Source organism: Homo sapiens, chromosome 6, assembly GCF_000001405.40.
Source record: "Homo sapiens chromosome 6, GRCh38.p14 Primary Assembly".
NCBI classification, from domain to species: domain Eukaryota; kingdom Metazoa; phylum Chordata; class Mammalia; order Primates; family Hominidae; genus Homo; species Homo sapiens.
In genome coordinates, this window is record NC_000006.12 from 134118239 (window position 1) to 134134236 (window position 15998).

Sequence of the window (15998 nt, forward strand, 5' to 3'; positions counted from 1 at the left end):
AGGAAAGCAGTTAGAAGAACAGTGGGCCAAATTGAACGGAAGGAGAAACCAAACCAATGGAGGATGTGATGCCCATATGGCACTTTATAGTGGATGTAATCAGAGGAGCCCCAAGGGAATCCTATCATGCCCACTGATCTGAGGACTCTTGCAGTTCATCCATTTGTCCCACCTCCTTTCACTCTCAAAATTGTCCCAATTTGAACAATAGGTGTGTTAGGATTCTCCAAGAGGGACAGAACCAATAGGATGTAAATATATAGTTATAGACGTAGACTGATGATATAGATAGATGTATGGCCAGATACAGTGGCTCACACCTGTAGTCCCAGCACGTTGGGAGGCCCAGACGGGTGGATCACTTCAGGTCAGGAGTTTGAGACCAGCCTGGCCAACATGGTGAACCCCTTATCTACTAAAAATACAAAAATTAGCCAGGCGGGGTGGTGCACACCTGTAATCCCAGTTTCTTGGGAGGCTGAGACAGGAGAATCGCTCCAACCCAGGAGGCAGAAGTTGCAGTGAGCCAAGATGGTGCCACTGCCCTCCAGCCTGGGCTACAAAGTGAGACCCTATCTCAAAAATAAAAATAAAATAAAAATAAAAATATAGATCTATCACAGGGGATTTATTGGGGAGATTGGTGCATGCAATTATGGAGTGTAAGTCCAACTGCAGGCCATCTGCAATCTGGAGACTCTGGGATGCTCAGAGTCTCCAGACTCTGATAATATGGCTCAGTCCAAGTTCAAAGGCCTCAAAAATAAGAAGCTGATAGTGTAACTTTCTGTCCAAGGCCAAAGGCCTGAGAACCTGAGGGTTGTGGGGGTCACTGGTATAAGTCCTGAAATCCAAAGGCCAGAGAACCTGGAGCTGTTATCCAAGGACAGGAGAAAAGAAGAGTGTATCCCAACTCCAGCAGCAGATGGAATGGATGGACATACTCACCTTTCCCTGTTTTGTTCTTTCTGGGCCCCCAGCAGATTGGATGGTGCCGGCCCGCATGGAAGGTGGGTCTTCCCCACCTAGTGCACTCAGACTCACTTGCTAATCTACTCTGGAAACTCCCTCACAGACACACCCATAAATAATACTTTAGCAAGTTTCTAGGCATTCCTTAATCCAGTCAAGTTAACACCTAAAATTAACCATCACAATAGGTTATATGGTCAACTCTATTATAACCTGAGGTATTGCTAGTTAACAAATTGAGGGAAGAGAAAAGTATACTTTTCTTTATAACAAGGACATAAAACTATATTTAGGAAAAGTATCTTTTGGAAAATTATTAATGATATAAGTTTAAAAAGTGAAAGGTTTGGCTCACATTTAAGCAGACTGTTGAACCAATTAGAACAACTACATTCCTTGAGCATTTCAGTTCATGTTTCTGCAGACTGAGTAAATGAGTCCATTGCATTTGTGGCATGGGTGTTGTCTTAGCCACTCAAGCTACTATAACAAAATGCCATCAGCTGAATGACTTATAAACAACAGATGTTTCTTTCTCAGTTCTGGTGACTGGAAGTTCAAGATCAGAGTGCCAGCAGATGCAGGTTCTAGTGAGGATCTTCTTCCTGGTTGCAGACACTGACTTCCTGTATCATCAAATTATGGAAAGAAAAAAGGTAGGTCATTGGCCTTTCCTTATAAGGTCACTAATCCCCTTCATGAGGGCTCCACCCTTGTGACCTAATTACCTCCCAAAGTCCCACCTCCAAGTACCATCACACTGGAGATTAGATTTCAACATGTGAATTTTGAGGGGAAAAAATATTCAATCTATAACAGGGATCAAAATTCTGTTCTGAACCTCTCTTCCATGTGAGATTGGAACTAGATACAAGTGCTTGTTATTTGTCAAATATTTGTGATATCTTCAACTCATTTCATATTTAGAAGGACAATTTTTCAACAGGTGGAAATGAAATATTTAAAAGTGTGATTTCATAACATCCTAAGTTAAACACAAAGAAATGACTGAGATTGCCAGAGAGCAGGAGCAAATGTTGGTTGTGGGCACACATACTCATTTGTCCATTTTACAGAAACATGTATTGTTATCTTCGTGTGGATGTCACAAAGTAGAAGTCTGATAGAATATCTTTTGCCAAGTTGACTTTTGATCCTGACTACTTTGGAGTCAGTTATGTCCAGGTCCTTATCATCACAGCTGTTCATAATTACAGCATCCCAATTAGTCTCTCTTCTCCAGTCTATCCCCAAACTAATCCATCCTATAGATTGCCAGAAGGCTAATTGTCCTAGAACAGCGTCATGTGCCATATTGCATTGTTTTGGTCAATGACGGACCTCATATGCAACAGTGGTTCCCTAAGATTATAATGGAGCTGAACAATTCCTATTACCTAGTGACATTGTAGCACAACACATTACTCACATGTTTGTGGTTATGCTGGTATAAACACGCCTACTGAGGCCCGGCGCGGTGGCTCACGCCTGTAATCCCAGCACTTTGGGAGGCCAAGGCGGGCAGATCGAGACCATCCTGGCTAACACAGTGAAACCCCGTCTCCACTAAAAATACAAAAAATTAGCCAGGCGTGGTGGCAGGCGCCTGTGGTCCCAGCTACCCGGGAGGCTGAGGCAGGAGAATGGCTTGAACCCGGGAGGCGGAGCTGGCAGTGGGTGGAGATCGTGCCACTGCACTCCAGCCCGGGCGGCAGAGTGAGACTCCATCTCAAAAAAACAAACAAACAAACAAACAAAAAAACCACACCTACTGAGCTGTCAGTCATATAGAATATAGTACCAACAATTATGTACATTCAGTACATAATGATTGATAAGGATAACAAATGACTATGTTACTGGTTTATGTATTCATTATACTATACTTTTTATTGTTATTTTAGAATGTACTCTTACTTTAAAAAAAGTTAACTATAAAACAGCTTCAGGCAAGTCCTTTAGGAGGTATTATAGAAGAAGGCACTGGTATAAGAAATGGCAGCTCCAGGCCAGGCGCAGTGGCTCACGCCTGTAATCCCAGCAGTTTGGGAGGCCGAGGTGGGTGGATCACCTGAGGTCAGGAGTTTGAGACCAGCCTGGCCAACATGGTGAAACCCTGCCTCTATTAAAAATATAAAAATTTAGCTGGGTGTGATGACACACGCCTGTAATCCCAGCTACTTGGGAGGCTGAGGCAGGAGAATTGCTTGAACCCGGGAGGTGGAGGTTGCAGTGAGCCAAGATCATGCCATTGTAGTCCGGCCTGGGCAGCAGAGCAAGACTCTGTCTCAAAAAAAAAAAAAAGAAAAGAAAAGGTAGCTCCATGCATGTTATTGCTCCTGAAGACCTTCCAGTGGGACAAGATGTGGAGATGAAAGACAGTGACATCAATGATCCTGACCCTGTCTAGGCCTAGGCTATTGTGTGTGTTCATGTCTTAATGCTTAATAAAATGTTTAAAGAGTAAAAAATAAAAATAAAACAATTTCAAAATAGAAAAAGCTTATAGAATAAAAATACAAAGAAAGAAACTATTTTTATACTACTATACAATGCGTTTGTGTTTTATGCTGCGTTACCTACAAAAAAGTCTAAAACTTTTATGAAATAAAAATGAGTAAGCTAATGTTAACTTATTACTGAAGAAATAATAATAATAATAAATAATTGAAGAAAGAAAAATATATTCTGGCCAGGTGCAGTGGCTCATATCTGTAATCCCAGCACTTTGGGAGGCCAAGGCAGGCGGATCACCTCAGGTCAGGAGTTTGAGACCAGCCTGGCCAACACAGTGAAACCCCATTTCTACTAAAAATACAGAAATTGGCCAGGTGCGGTGACTCACGCCTGTAATCCCAGCACTTTGGGAGGCCAAGGTGGGTGGCTCACAAGGTCAGGAGTTCGAGACTAGCCTGGCCAACATAGTGAAACCCCATCTCTACCAAAAATACAAAAACATTAGCTGGGCTTGGTGGCGAGCGCCTGTAATCCCAGCTACTCGGGAGGCTGAGGCAGGAGAATTGCTTGAACCTGGGAGGCGGAGGTTGCAGTGAGCTGAGATTGTGCCATTGTACTCCAGCCCGGATGACAGTGCAAGACTCCATCTCAAAATAAATAAATAAATAAATAAATAAATAATAAGAATACAAAAATTAGCCGGGTGTGGTGGTGCACCTCTGTAATCCCAGCTACTCGGGAGCCTGAGGCACAAGAATCGCTTGAACCCAGGAGGTGGAGTTTGCAGTAAGCTGATATAGGGCCACTGCACTCCAGCCTGGTGGGCAACAGAACAAGACTGTGTCTCAAAAAAAAAAAAAAAAAAAAAAAGAAGAAAAATATATTTTTATAAATGTAGTATAGCCTAAGTGTACAGTGTTTATAATGTCTACATTAGTGCATGGTAATGTCATTCCTAGGCTTTCACCTTCACTCACCACTCACTCACTGATTCACCCAGAGCAACTTCCAGTCCTGCCAGCTCCATTCGTGTAAGGGCCCTATATAGTGTACCATCATTTTTATCTTTTCTTCTGTATTTTTGCTGTACTTTTTCTATGTTTAGATATGTGTAGACACACAGATACTTACCATTGTGTTACAATTGCCTACAGTATTCAGTATAGTAACATGCTGTACAGGTTTGTAGCCTAGGAGGAATAGGCTATACCATATAATCCAGGTGTGTAACAGGCCATACCATCAGTCTGTATAAGTGCACTCTATAATGTTCAAACAACTATGAAATCACCTAATGACACATTTCTCAAAACATGTTCCTTTGGTTAAGCGAGACATGACTGTACTAGTTCTATCATCAGTTCCCTGCTCAAAAACATTCAGAGCTCCCCCTGGTCATTAAAAGAAATTCTGGAATCACACCTTTGAATGACTTTCCAGGTGTTACCTTAGTTGCTATATCCTGTCTCTCCCTAAACTCTTATGGCTCTACTATTGATAGTTTTTATTTTAACATTTGGTCATATACCAGCTTTGTATTGCTACTTAATTTATTCTTGGTTGTAGATCTAATTTTTTTTATGATGGAGTTTCACTCTTGTTGTCCAGGCTGGAGTGCAGTGGCATGATCTCAGATTACTGCAACCTCCACTTTCCAGTTTCAAGTGATTCTCCTGCCTCAGCCTCCCGAGCAGCTGGGATTACAGGAGCCTGCCACCATGCCTGGCTAATATTTGTATTTTTAGTAGAAATGGGGTTTCACCATGTTGGCCAGGCTGGTCTCGAACTCCTGACCTCGTGATCCACCCACCTTAGCCTCCCAAAGTGCTGGGATTACAGGTGTTAGCCACTGTACCCAGCCGACAGATCTAATTTTTTTAACAGAATTGAAAGATCCATGGTGATAATGTCCACTTTTTTTCTTCTTAAGCACAGGTGGCTTATACCTGAGCTGAAAGACTAAATTCCTTGAGCATGGGAATTAATCACTTTGTCCACAGAATCTAGGAAAGCATTTGATACCAAATTCCTGCTCAATAAAGTATTGAATTGAATGAATTAGGACAGGTGCTTGGTACGTGAGTTGAATAATTCACCTTTCTTCCAGCAGATGTCGCTAACTTTCAGGCTTAAATTTAAGGCTTTAATAAATAAGGCATTACATTTAAAACTTAGCTTAACTATTAAACTGATATTTATATTTTCAAACTGTAAATTTCTTCCTTGTGTTATTGTAAACTTCTGGAATTCCTTTTGCTATGCTTTTAGGAGTACTTCTTTGGCCAGTCTCCAATGGGTTCATTTCCTTCTGATTTTTTTTCCAAGCAGTGTTTTGCTTGCTGTACTCACAGATGATGAAGGTGGTTGTAATAGCAATGGCTGACAACGTGCTGGATGCAGGGCTAAGCGCTTCATGTGCATTATCTCACTTGAGATTCCTATAGCACCCCTGTGAGGTAGGAACTGTTATCACCCCTATTTTACTGTTGAGCAAACCGGGGAACATGAAGTAACTTAGTCAAAAGTCTCACAGCTTCAAGGTGACAGAATCAGAATTCAAACTTCAGAATTTTAACAATTTCAGCATGTTGTCATTAAGCTTTTTTCTGTTTCATTACACAGTTTTTGTAAACATCATTTTGCTAAACTTTTAACCTGGGTGCCAACGTTTGCTTATCACTAATAATATGTTTTGCAAATTAATAATAAAGTGAATTTTTTTAACATGTTCACTTTCTTCAGTGAAAATCTCAAAGAGTGGGCTTGTGCCCTTCACGTTTTCTGATTAGCATCTCTCATGCGTATTAGATTGGTACATTCTTTTTAACTAGAAAAATGGATGTTTGAACTTAAAAAATTTAAAACCCAAGCTTCTCTCTCACATCTAAACTGTATTCAAAATGCTTGATGAAGTTTTTTTCATCAAAGGCATATCTTTAAAAAGAACTCCTGCAAAACAGCGAGCACAACCCAGCACAGAGAAGTGCTCTGTAAGTGCTACCTATTAAAATTATTACTATCTTCATCTATATGGAAGCAAACAAAAAGATCAGAAAGAAAGCTATCAAGAAGATAAAAGAGATTGTTTAGGGCTATGGTGAACATTTATTATTTTTATCTGACCGACTTTTTTTTTTTTCTTGTACAGATGGGGTCTTGGTATGTTTGCCAAGGCTGGTCTTGAACTCCTGGCCTCAACTGAGCCTCCTGTCTTGGCCTCCTAAAGTTCTGAGATTACAGGCATGTTCCATTGTGCCCAGCCCCACTCAGTGTTTTTTCCTATCTGACTTTGGGAACAGTATTGTTCCTTATTTTGAGGACTTCTCCCATACACTGATTCTATGAGCTTTGGGGCAGCTGCCAATCATGGAATTGTGCTGTCCTGGCCACCCAGGTGGACATGTGATCCAGCCAGGCCAGGCTCAGCACTTCCTCAAGATTAATTGATCTGATATTCGGAGGAAAAAGTCCTTCCTCTCCTTTAAGGAAAATTAAGCAAAAGGAAACTAAATAAATTTTCTAAAAGCAGATATTTGCCAATCCGTGTTGAAAAAAATAGATCTATATTTCACAGCATTTACAAAAATTCCAAACGAATCAAAAGACTTAACAAACCTATTAAAAGAAAACAAAAAGGAGAATATACTTAAGAGTAGACCTTCTAAAACATTATAAAAATGCTAACGCCTTAAAAAATGGTGAATAAATGCCATTTTATCAAATTTCTGAACTTTTACATAACATCATTGCAAATAAGTTTAAAAGACAACTAGAAGACTGGGAGGAAATATTTGTAACATATATAACAATCAATGTTATTTATTTATTTATTTAGAGACAGGGTCTCCCTCTGTCACCCAGGCTGCAGTGCAGCGGTGCAATTATGATTTACTGCAGCCTTGAACTCCAAGGCTCAAGTGATCCTCCTAACCTCAGCCTCTGGAGTAGCTGGGACAACAGGTGTGTGCCACCATATCTGGCTAATTTTTGTAGACATAGGGTCTTGTTATGTTGCTTAGGCTTGTCTCGAACTCCTGGACTCCCACCTTGGCCTCCCAAAGTGCTGAGATTACAGGTGTGAACGACCATGCATGGCAATGGATTAATATCAAAATCAGCAAAGAACTCATAATCCATAAATAAGAGAAAAACGAGAATAAGAATAGACAATTCACAGAAGAGGTGGTATAAATGCTGAACAAACATATAAAAGATGCTCAACCTTGCCGCTTATCAGAGTGATACCAAACATAAATTTTTATGAAAAGTTCTATGAAATGAAATAAAATACCATGCCTGTGTCACCCATAATATTAAAAAAAATTCAAAATTTGATAATATTAATTGTTAGAAAGTATACTTGTAAAGGGACTTTCTCATACACTATTGGTGGTAGTAAAAATTTCATAACATTATAGAGTGCAATTTTAAAATGTAGTACTTGGCCTGGCACGGTGGCTCATGCCTGTAATTCCAGCACTTTGGAAGGCTAAGGTGATCCACCTGAGGTCAGGAGTTCGAGACCAGTCTGGCCAACATGGTGAAACCCTGCCTCTACTAAAAATACAAAATAAAAAAAAAAATCAGCTGGGCATGGTGGCAGGTGCCTGTAATATCAGCTACCAGGGAGACTGAGGCAGGAGAATTGCTTGAACCCGGGAGGAGCCGAGATCCTGCCACTGCACTCCAGCCTGGGTGACAGAGTGCAACTGTCTCAAAACAAAACAAACAAAAACTACATATACATATAACTATAGATAAACATAATATACTACAGATGATAGAAATATAAACATAAATGTGATGCACCCTAAATGATAAATGCCAAGCTAGTAGTAACCATCTCTGATGAGAGATTAGGATTAGGGATCATCATTAAGAATAATTTTAAATTCATCTGAACTGCTTGACTTTTTATAATGAAAATATATTCATTTAGTGCTTATATACTTAAAAATAAATAATTAAAAAGAAAGTACTGAATGTGGGTTTTCATTTAGTTTCTAAAGAGACTGACTGCATTCTTGAAACTAGATCGGGTCAAATGTGGGTACAGCACGGCTCCTCCATCTGTCTTCCCTTGCTTCCCCTCTACTCCCTCTGCGTTGCTAAGGATTCTCTTGTTGACATCTGCTTATCCCAGATTCTTCACTATGACTTTCTAAACTCTCCAATCTTCTAAACCTCATCAAAGTTTACCCATTCTTTGAGCCAGTTCTTCAGGTGATTACCTAATATGATAAATTAATTCCCTATAAATTATGATAATAGTGTTGCATATTATATCTCACAGATAAATTGTTTACTTTTACCAGGAATCTTTAATACATTATTTTTTTAATTTATGTATTTATTTTGTCGAGACAGGATCTCCCTGTGTTGCCCAGCCTAGTCTTGATTGAATTTCTGGCTTTAAGTAAAGTGATCTTCCTACCTCGGCCTCCTAAAATACTGGCATTATAGGTGTGAGCCACTGTGCCAGACCTTGGTACATTGTTTTAAAGAAAAGATGAATGGTGACCATTTTAGGAAAGTCAATGTGAAATATACGTAAGAGAAGAGAGATTTTTAGAACCTCTTCATCAAATTATAGAGGGTCTACCTTCCATATTTATAAATGACCTTCATCTTATTGACTGTCAAGGTTTTTAAAACTCATTTATATGTTGTCATAAAATTTGCTAAGATATTATTATATTATCTGTGATCACTATAAATGGAAGACAGTTATTTTGCAAATTCTACATATTTCCTTAGTTTTTCAGTCTTTAAGATAGGGGGAGTTTGAGTAAGCTGTAGAATGTATATTTATTATTTCAATGTGAATAAGAATCTTCTTGAGATTCCTTCAAGAGACTTAAAGCAGTACTACTTTACAATAAATATAATTGACAGCTTTTTTCAAATGCTTCGTATGAGCCTTCTTACATTCCAAAACATCTGCATGCCCCAGTAAAAGTGCATTGGAAAGGTTCGAAATAAGCTAATAGTTTAAAGTAATTGCTGGTGAGATCATTTAATACAATTAAAACTTTAAAATTAATTGATTATTCTTATTTTAATTTAAAGCAGACACATAAATCTATTAAAAATTCACAGCTGGCCAGGCGTGGTGGCTCATGCCTGTAATCCCAGCATTTTGGGAGGCCGAAGTGAGTGGATCACCTGAGGTCAGGAGTTCAAGACCAGCCTGACCAACATGGTGAAACCCCATCTCTACTAAAAATACAAAAATTAGCTGGGTGTGGTAGTGCAGGCCTGTAATCCCAGGTACTCGGGAGGCTGAGGCAGGAGAATCACTTGAACCCAGGAGATAGATGCTGAGATGAGCCAAGATCACACCACTGCACTCCAGCCTGGGCAACAGAGAACCTCGTCTCAAAAAAAAAAAAAAAAAAATGTGCTTTCATACCATATTCCACAATGGAATATTATTTTGCCATAAAGGAATGAAGTACTGATGTATTATACAACATGGATGAACCTTGAAAACATATTAAGTAAAAGAAGCCCACATATTGCATAATTTCATTTATTGGAGATGCCCAGAATAAGTAAATCCATGAAGACAAAAATTAGATTAGTGGTTGTCAGAGGCTGTGGGGGTGGGGATGAGGAGTGACTGCTCTCGAGTACAAGGTTCCTTTTTGCAGTGATAAACATTTTCTAAAATTAGATTATGGTGATACTGGCATCAATATATTCATGCCTCTGTGAATACATTGAAAACCTTTGAATTATACACTTTAAAACCATGAGTTTTATGGAGTTTTATGGTATGTGAGATATATCTTTATAAAGCTGTAAAAATGTCCACACATAACACAAAACAACCTAGATATTAAATTTCATTATGTAAATATTTTTGAAACTATGTATTTCAGATGATGGAATCTCCATATACATATGGGGACAGAAAATTAGGCTTCTGAACTCTGATATGAGAAATGGGCTCTATCTATCATTGCAAATAGTTTCCTCAGAGACCAATTCAAACATATTTTTTGTTTTTGCTTTTTTTAGCACCTTGGGCTTGAAGAATCAATGTAAAAATATATTACGATACAAAGGTAAATCCAATAAAACACAAAGCTAGATGCACTGAAGTAAAACTATTCCAAGTTTGTCAAAGAGAATGCTTGCTTATAAACCATGTTTACCAAAACCAAAAGGGAGATGGATCTTCAATGTCTTTTTTTTTTTTTTTTTTAAGACAGAGTCTCACTCTGCCACCCAGACTGGAGTGCAGTGGTGCCATCTCAGCTCACTGCAACCTCCGCCTCCCAGGTTCAAGCACTTCTCCTGCCTTGGCCTCTTGAGTAGCTGAGACTACAGGCGTGTGCCACCACACCCGACTAATTTCTGTATTTTTAGTAAAGACGGGGTTTTGCAATGTTGGCCAGGCTGGTCTCGAACTCCTGGCCTCAAGTGATCTGCCTGCGTCGGCCTCCCAAAGTGCTGGGATTACAGGCATGAGCCGCTGCACCTGACCTTATCTCTTACATTTTTATTTCTCTAAGTAGTATTTATATTTTAAAAGAGTTCTCTGGTTAACCTACAGGAACAAAGCAGGAAAGATTTAATTTTAGGCAGCTAGAGGAAAACTATTAGGGTAGAGATGGCTCATCTGCCAGCTCAAATTATGCAGAGGAGGTAACTTGTCTGTAAAATTGGTTCTTCCTACCATGCAGTGGTCTTGATGCTTCTTTTACTTGTTCTATGAGGACTCAAAATCCAACAGAAATGTCTAAGTGCTGTATTTTTAGGAGCAGATGAAAACTTACACATAAATTTTAGTTCAGTTTGTTACAAAGTTTAAAGTCAAAGTGACCTCAAAAAACAGTATCACTTTGTTGAGTGTTGAAAGTATAAGAAGCTAAACAAGGATTACTGTCACTACTAGTTATATTTGTCATTTGGAAATCACTCTCAATTTAAGAAATATTTGGTTGATTTACTTTTTGTCAAAGCAGTGTGTGTGTGTGTGTGTTTAAAGGAAATCACATATAATTATTTATTATTGTTTTTCATTTATAAGGTTGCTAGACTTTGGCTATTTGTCCCCTCTAAACCTCATTTTGAAATGTGATCCCCAGTGTTTGAAGTGGGTCCTAATGGGAGGCATTTGGGTCATGAGGGTGGCTCCTCCATTTTATTTTTATTTTATTTATTTATTTTTTTTGAGACAGAGTCTCACTCTGTCGCCCAGGCTGGAGTGCAGCGGTGCGATCTTGGCTTACTGCAAGCTCTGCCTCCCGGGTTCAAGTAATTCTCCTGCCTCAGCCTCCCGATCAGCTGGGACTACAGGCTCTCGCCACCACGCCCAGCTAATTTTTTGTATTTTTTAGTAGAGATGGGGTTTCACCGTGTTAGCCAGGATGGTCTCAATCTCCTGACCTCATGATCCACCCACCTCGGCCTCCCAAATTGCTGGGGGGTGGCTCCTTCATGAACAGATTAATGCTTCCTCTGTGGGAAGAGGTGAGTGAGTTCTTGCTCTATTAGTTCCCAAGAGGGTTGGGTGTTAAAAAGAGCCTGGCACCTCCTCCCTGTCTTGCTTCCTGTCTCCCCATGTGATCTCTGCACGTGCCAGCTCCCCTTCACCTTCCACCATGAGTGGAAGCAACTTGAGACCCACACCAGAGGCAGATGCTGGTGCCATGCTTCTTTGGGCCAATTAAACCTCTTTTCCTTATAAATTGTCCAGCCTCAGGTAATTATGGCAACACAAAATGGACAAAGGATCTGTGATATCTGGGTATATATCACAGATCCAGATACAAACACTTAAAAGATCTATGTTTTTGTTGGTGGTGGTCACTTAATGTTCTTTTCCACCTTGAATTCAAGTGGCAAATAATGAGAGACCAGTTCACAGAGCATAAGAGGACAGCCCTCATTTCTGCCTCTCAGACTAAAAGATATAGACTGTCCAAAATGAAACTGGATGGATGGAGAACTGGTCAAAGCTAGCCATGTAAAGCGGTGATCTCAAGCTGGAGGGAATTTTGTCTCCCAAGGAATATTTGGCAAGTTTGGAGACATTTCTGGTTGTCACAGTTGGAGAAGTTACTGGCGTCTAATGGATAGAGGCCAGAGATGCTGCCAAACATCCCAAAATGCACAAGATACCTCCTATAACAATCATCCAGCCCCAAATGTTCACAGTGCAGAGTTGGAGAAATCCTTATCTGAAGCAATACTATGTCATGAATGGCTAAATTAACCAAATTCCAACCAAAAAAACTAAAGGTTATCGATATGGTTTGGCTCTGTGTCCCCACCCAAATCTCACGTTGAATTGTAATTCCCCCTGCTGGGGGAGGGGTCTGGTGGGAAGTGATTGGATTGTGGAGATGGATTTCCTCCTTGCTGTTTTTGTGATAGTGAGTGAGTTCTCATGAGATCCGGTTGTTTCAAAGTGTGTGGCACTTCCCCCTTCGCTCTCTCTCTCCTGCCGCCATGTGAAGACATGCTTGCTTCCCCTTCACCCTTCTGTCATAATTGTAAGTTTCCTGAGGCCTCCCCAGCCATGCCTCCTGTACAGCCTGTGGAATTGTAACTCAATTAAACCTCTTTTCTTTATAAATTACCCAATTTCAGGTGGTTTTTTATAGCAGTGAGAGAATGGACTAATACAGTTATAGTTTCAAAAATAGAGAGATGCCAGTAGCTTGACAGAACATCAGTCTAATTAACCAAAAATGTTTCAACCTAAGGTAGTTACTTGAATTTGGAAAAGGAGCCCATGAGACTGAGAGCCTAGCTCTAAGCTCTGGTAACTCACCCATGGTCCCATCCTGAGACAGGGCCTGAGCCATCAGCCCCTGGCCTGAGACACCTCCATCCTCCGCAAGAGCAATCTGTACTCAGTTCACAGTGCAATTCTCATCACAAGGCACCCATCATGATCACATCAAAGGTCAGAACACATGTATCCTGTTTCTACAGGACTCCCTTTGTCAGAAGTTGTGTAGAATTCAAATAATATTTTAAACACTCTAAATTGAATAACATTTCTTTTGTAAATTTGCTTAAAACTATAATGACAATTATTGCTGATACAGTGAAAAAGAAGAATGAAGAAAGGAGGAGCTGTCTGACACAACAAATACTGATTTTCATTGACCAAGTTGGAAATCATGAGTGCCCTATGCAGAACAATACAAATAAGGACATTAGGTAGGAGGCGGCAAGTGTGTGGGGCAGATCCAGTCTAGGTGACCTAAACTCAGGCTCACAGAGAGTGGGAGGAACCCAGCGAGGCTTCAAAGGCACTGAAACATTACATATCTTGATTTTTGTTGTGGTTTTACACATTCATACATACATACATTCCTATCTATCTCTCTACCAATAGGTCCCTCTAGATCTAGATTGAGAGAAACATGTAAGTATGTATGTGTGTGTGTGTGTTTGTATGTGTGACTCGCGCAATTTACAGTAAGTTGAAAACAAAAATTTTTTTTTTTTTTTTTTTTTTTTTGAGACGGAGTCTCGCTCTGTCGCCCAGGCTGGAGTGCAGTGGCGGGATCTCGGCTCACTGCAAGCTCCGCCTCCCGGGTTCATGCCATTCTCCTGCCTCAGCCTCCCAAGTAGCTGGGACTACAGGCGCCCGCCACTACGCCCGGCTAATTTTTTGTATTTTTAGTAGAGACGGGGTTTCACCGTTTTAGCCGGGATGGTCTCGATCTCCTGACCTCGTGATCCGCCCGCCTCGGCCTCCCAAAGTGCTGGGATTACAGGCGTGAGCCACCGCGCCCGGCCGAAAACAAAAATTTTTTAAGAGACAGACTTGCCCAAGAGCAGTGGTGCAATTAGAGCTCACTGTAGCCTCAAACTCCTGGGTATAAGTGATCCTCCTACCTCAGCTTCCTGAGTAGCCAGGATTTCAGGCCTGAGCCACCACGCCTAGCAAAAAAAAAAAAAAAAAAAAAAAAAAATGCTGAGGACAATAGGAAATTTCCCACAACTTGCATCTGCTTTAAGGAGTCTGGCCTTAATAGGAAATTGTAATTGTCCATTTCACAGCAGGAGGCAAAGAATTCCTGGCTTGACTCACAGATACACACAAGACCTGGGAATTCTTCAAAAATGTTTGGAGAGGAGAACTCCAAGAAAAAGCTAGGGAGCTTGCAGTATGAAGATTTGCACTAAGTGATAATATAAAGTGATCTCATTTATAACAACTGGTCCAATGTAGAATCTCCCTGAGTCAGCTAAGAATTAGAACCATGTTTGACCATATCTAGTTCACCTGTAAAGCTAGCTCAGCACATTTCTGATTCTTTAAAAACATTACTAAGGTCATTCATCAGCCAACTGCTATCACAAGACTAAACAACTGCTTAAGGGAAATAGCTCGGTTGGTTTGTGTTTCTTAATTTACAGGTTTCTAAAAATTGCCTTTTTTATCGAATACCTCATCTCTTGCCTTCATTTTTCTCTTTTAGATATACTTCATGTTGTAGTGTCTGGCGATTTATTAAAGGAGATCAGATTTGATACCAATGAACTCAGTCAAAAAGGTATTAGAAAGACCTAGATGGCTAATCTTTTATATAATGCTTCTGCATAGCTTATATTCTGTCTTAGAGCTGCCAGAGATTTTTTTTTAATATGTAGAGCCTCAGAGAAACAGGTCTATCCCAAGTTGCTCAGTGTAACTGTCCAAATAATAATAATCACTTTAGCAACACATTCTATAATAGGAGTGTTATTTAAGGAGGAAAGAGGGGTTGCTTTGGAGTACTTTGTTTCTGCTTGGGAGGAGCACAATTTCTAAACCTAAATATTTCTGGGTTTCAATCCTGGATAAGTCATGTATTTATTAGTTTTGCGACCTTGGGCAAGTTACTTAACTTACCTTAGCCTACATTTTCTCATCTATAAAATAGAGGAAACAGCTGGGTGTGGTGGTGCAAGCCTGTAGTCCCAGATACTCAGGAGGCTGAGGTGGGAGGATCGCTTGAGACAAGGAGGTCTGGGCTGTAGTGCGCTATGCCAATCAGTGTCTGCACTAAGGTCAGCATCAATTTGGTGACCTCCTGGGAGCAAGGGACCACCAGCTTGCCTAAGGAGGGGTGAACCGGCCCAGGTCAGAAATGGAGCAGGTCAAAATTCCCGTGCTGATCAGTAGTGAGATTGGGCCTGTGAATAGCCACTGCACTCCAGCCTGGGCAACAAAGCAATCCCATCACTAAAAAAAATAAATAAATAAAAATAAATAGAAAGCATATCCTTCAAGGTTTTTGTGAGTTGAAATGTCTTAACACTATAACAATGCCTAGTATATAACAGGCAATAAACATTTGTTTTCTTCCCCTTGTCCCAGCTGGGATACTATGCCGACACCTTTTTGTAGAAAGGCAACATCCAACTCCTCCCCAGTCCAGGCATACTAATGCTGATTTTAGACTGTGGTAGACTCAGCTGAGCAACAAACATTTTGAGCTCTTGCACTGGGTCACTTCCTGCCAGCCAGTTGGTAGGATTAGACTCCTTGCAATCTGTGTGTGCAGCAGAGTGGATTAAATTTCTGAAATATTTTATCACATCTGACCTTATTA

The 15998-nt window shown here is 40.3% G+C and overlaps 1 long non-coding RNA gene and 1 pseudogene across 1 annotated transcript in view; both read left to right on the plus strand.

Annotated features, from left to right (window-relative positions):
* Window positions 1–3195, plus strand: part of LOC124901404 (uncharacterized) — a 39387-nt gene extending 36192 nt beyond the window's left edge. Inside the window, exon 3 of the long non-coding RNA XR_007059774.1 lies at window positions 1513–3195. This is a non-coding gene — a long non-coding RNA (uncharacterized LOC124901404). The remainder of the gene's footprint in view (window positions 1–1512) is intronic.
* Window positions 15335–15630, plus strand: RN7SL408P (RNA, 7SL, cytoplasmic 408, pseudogene; annotated as a pseudogene).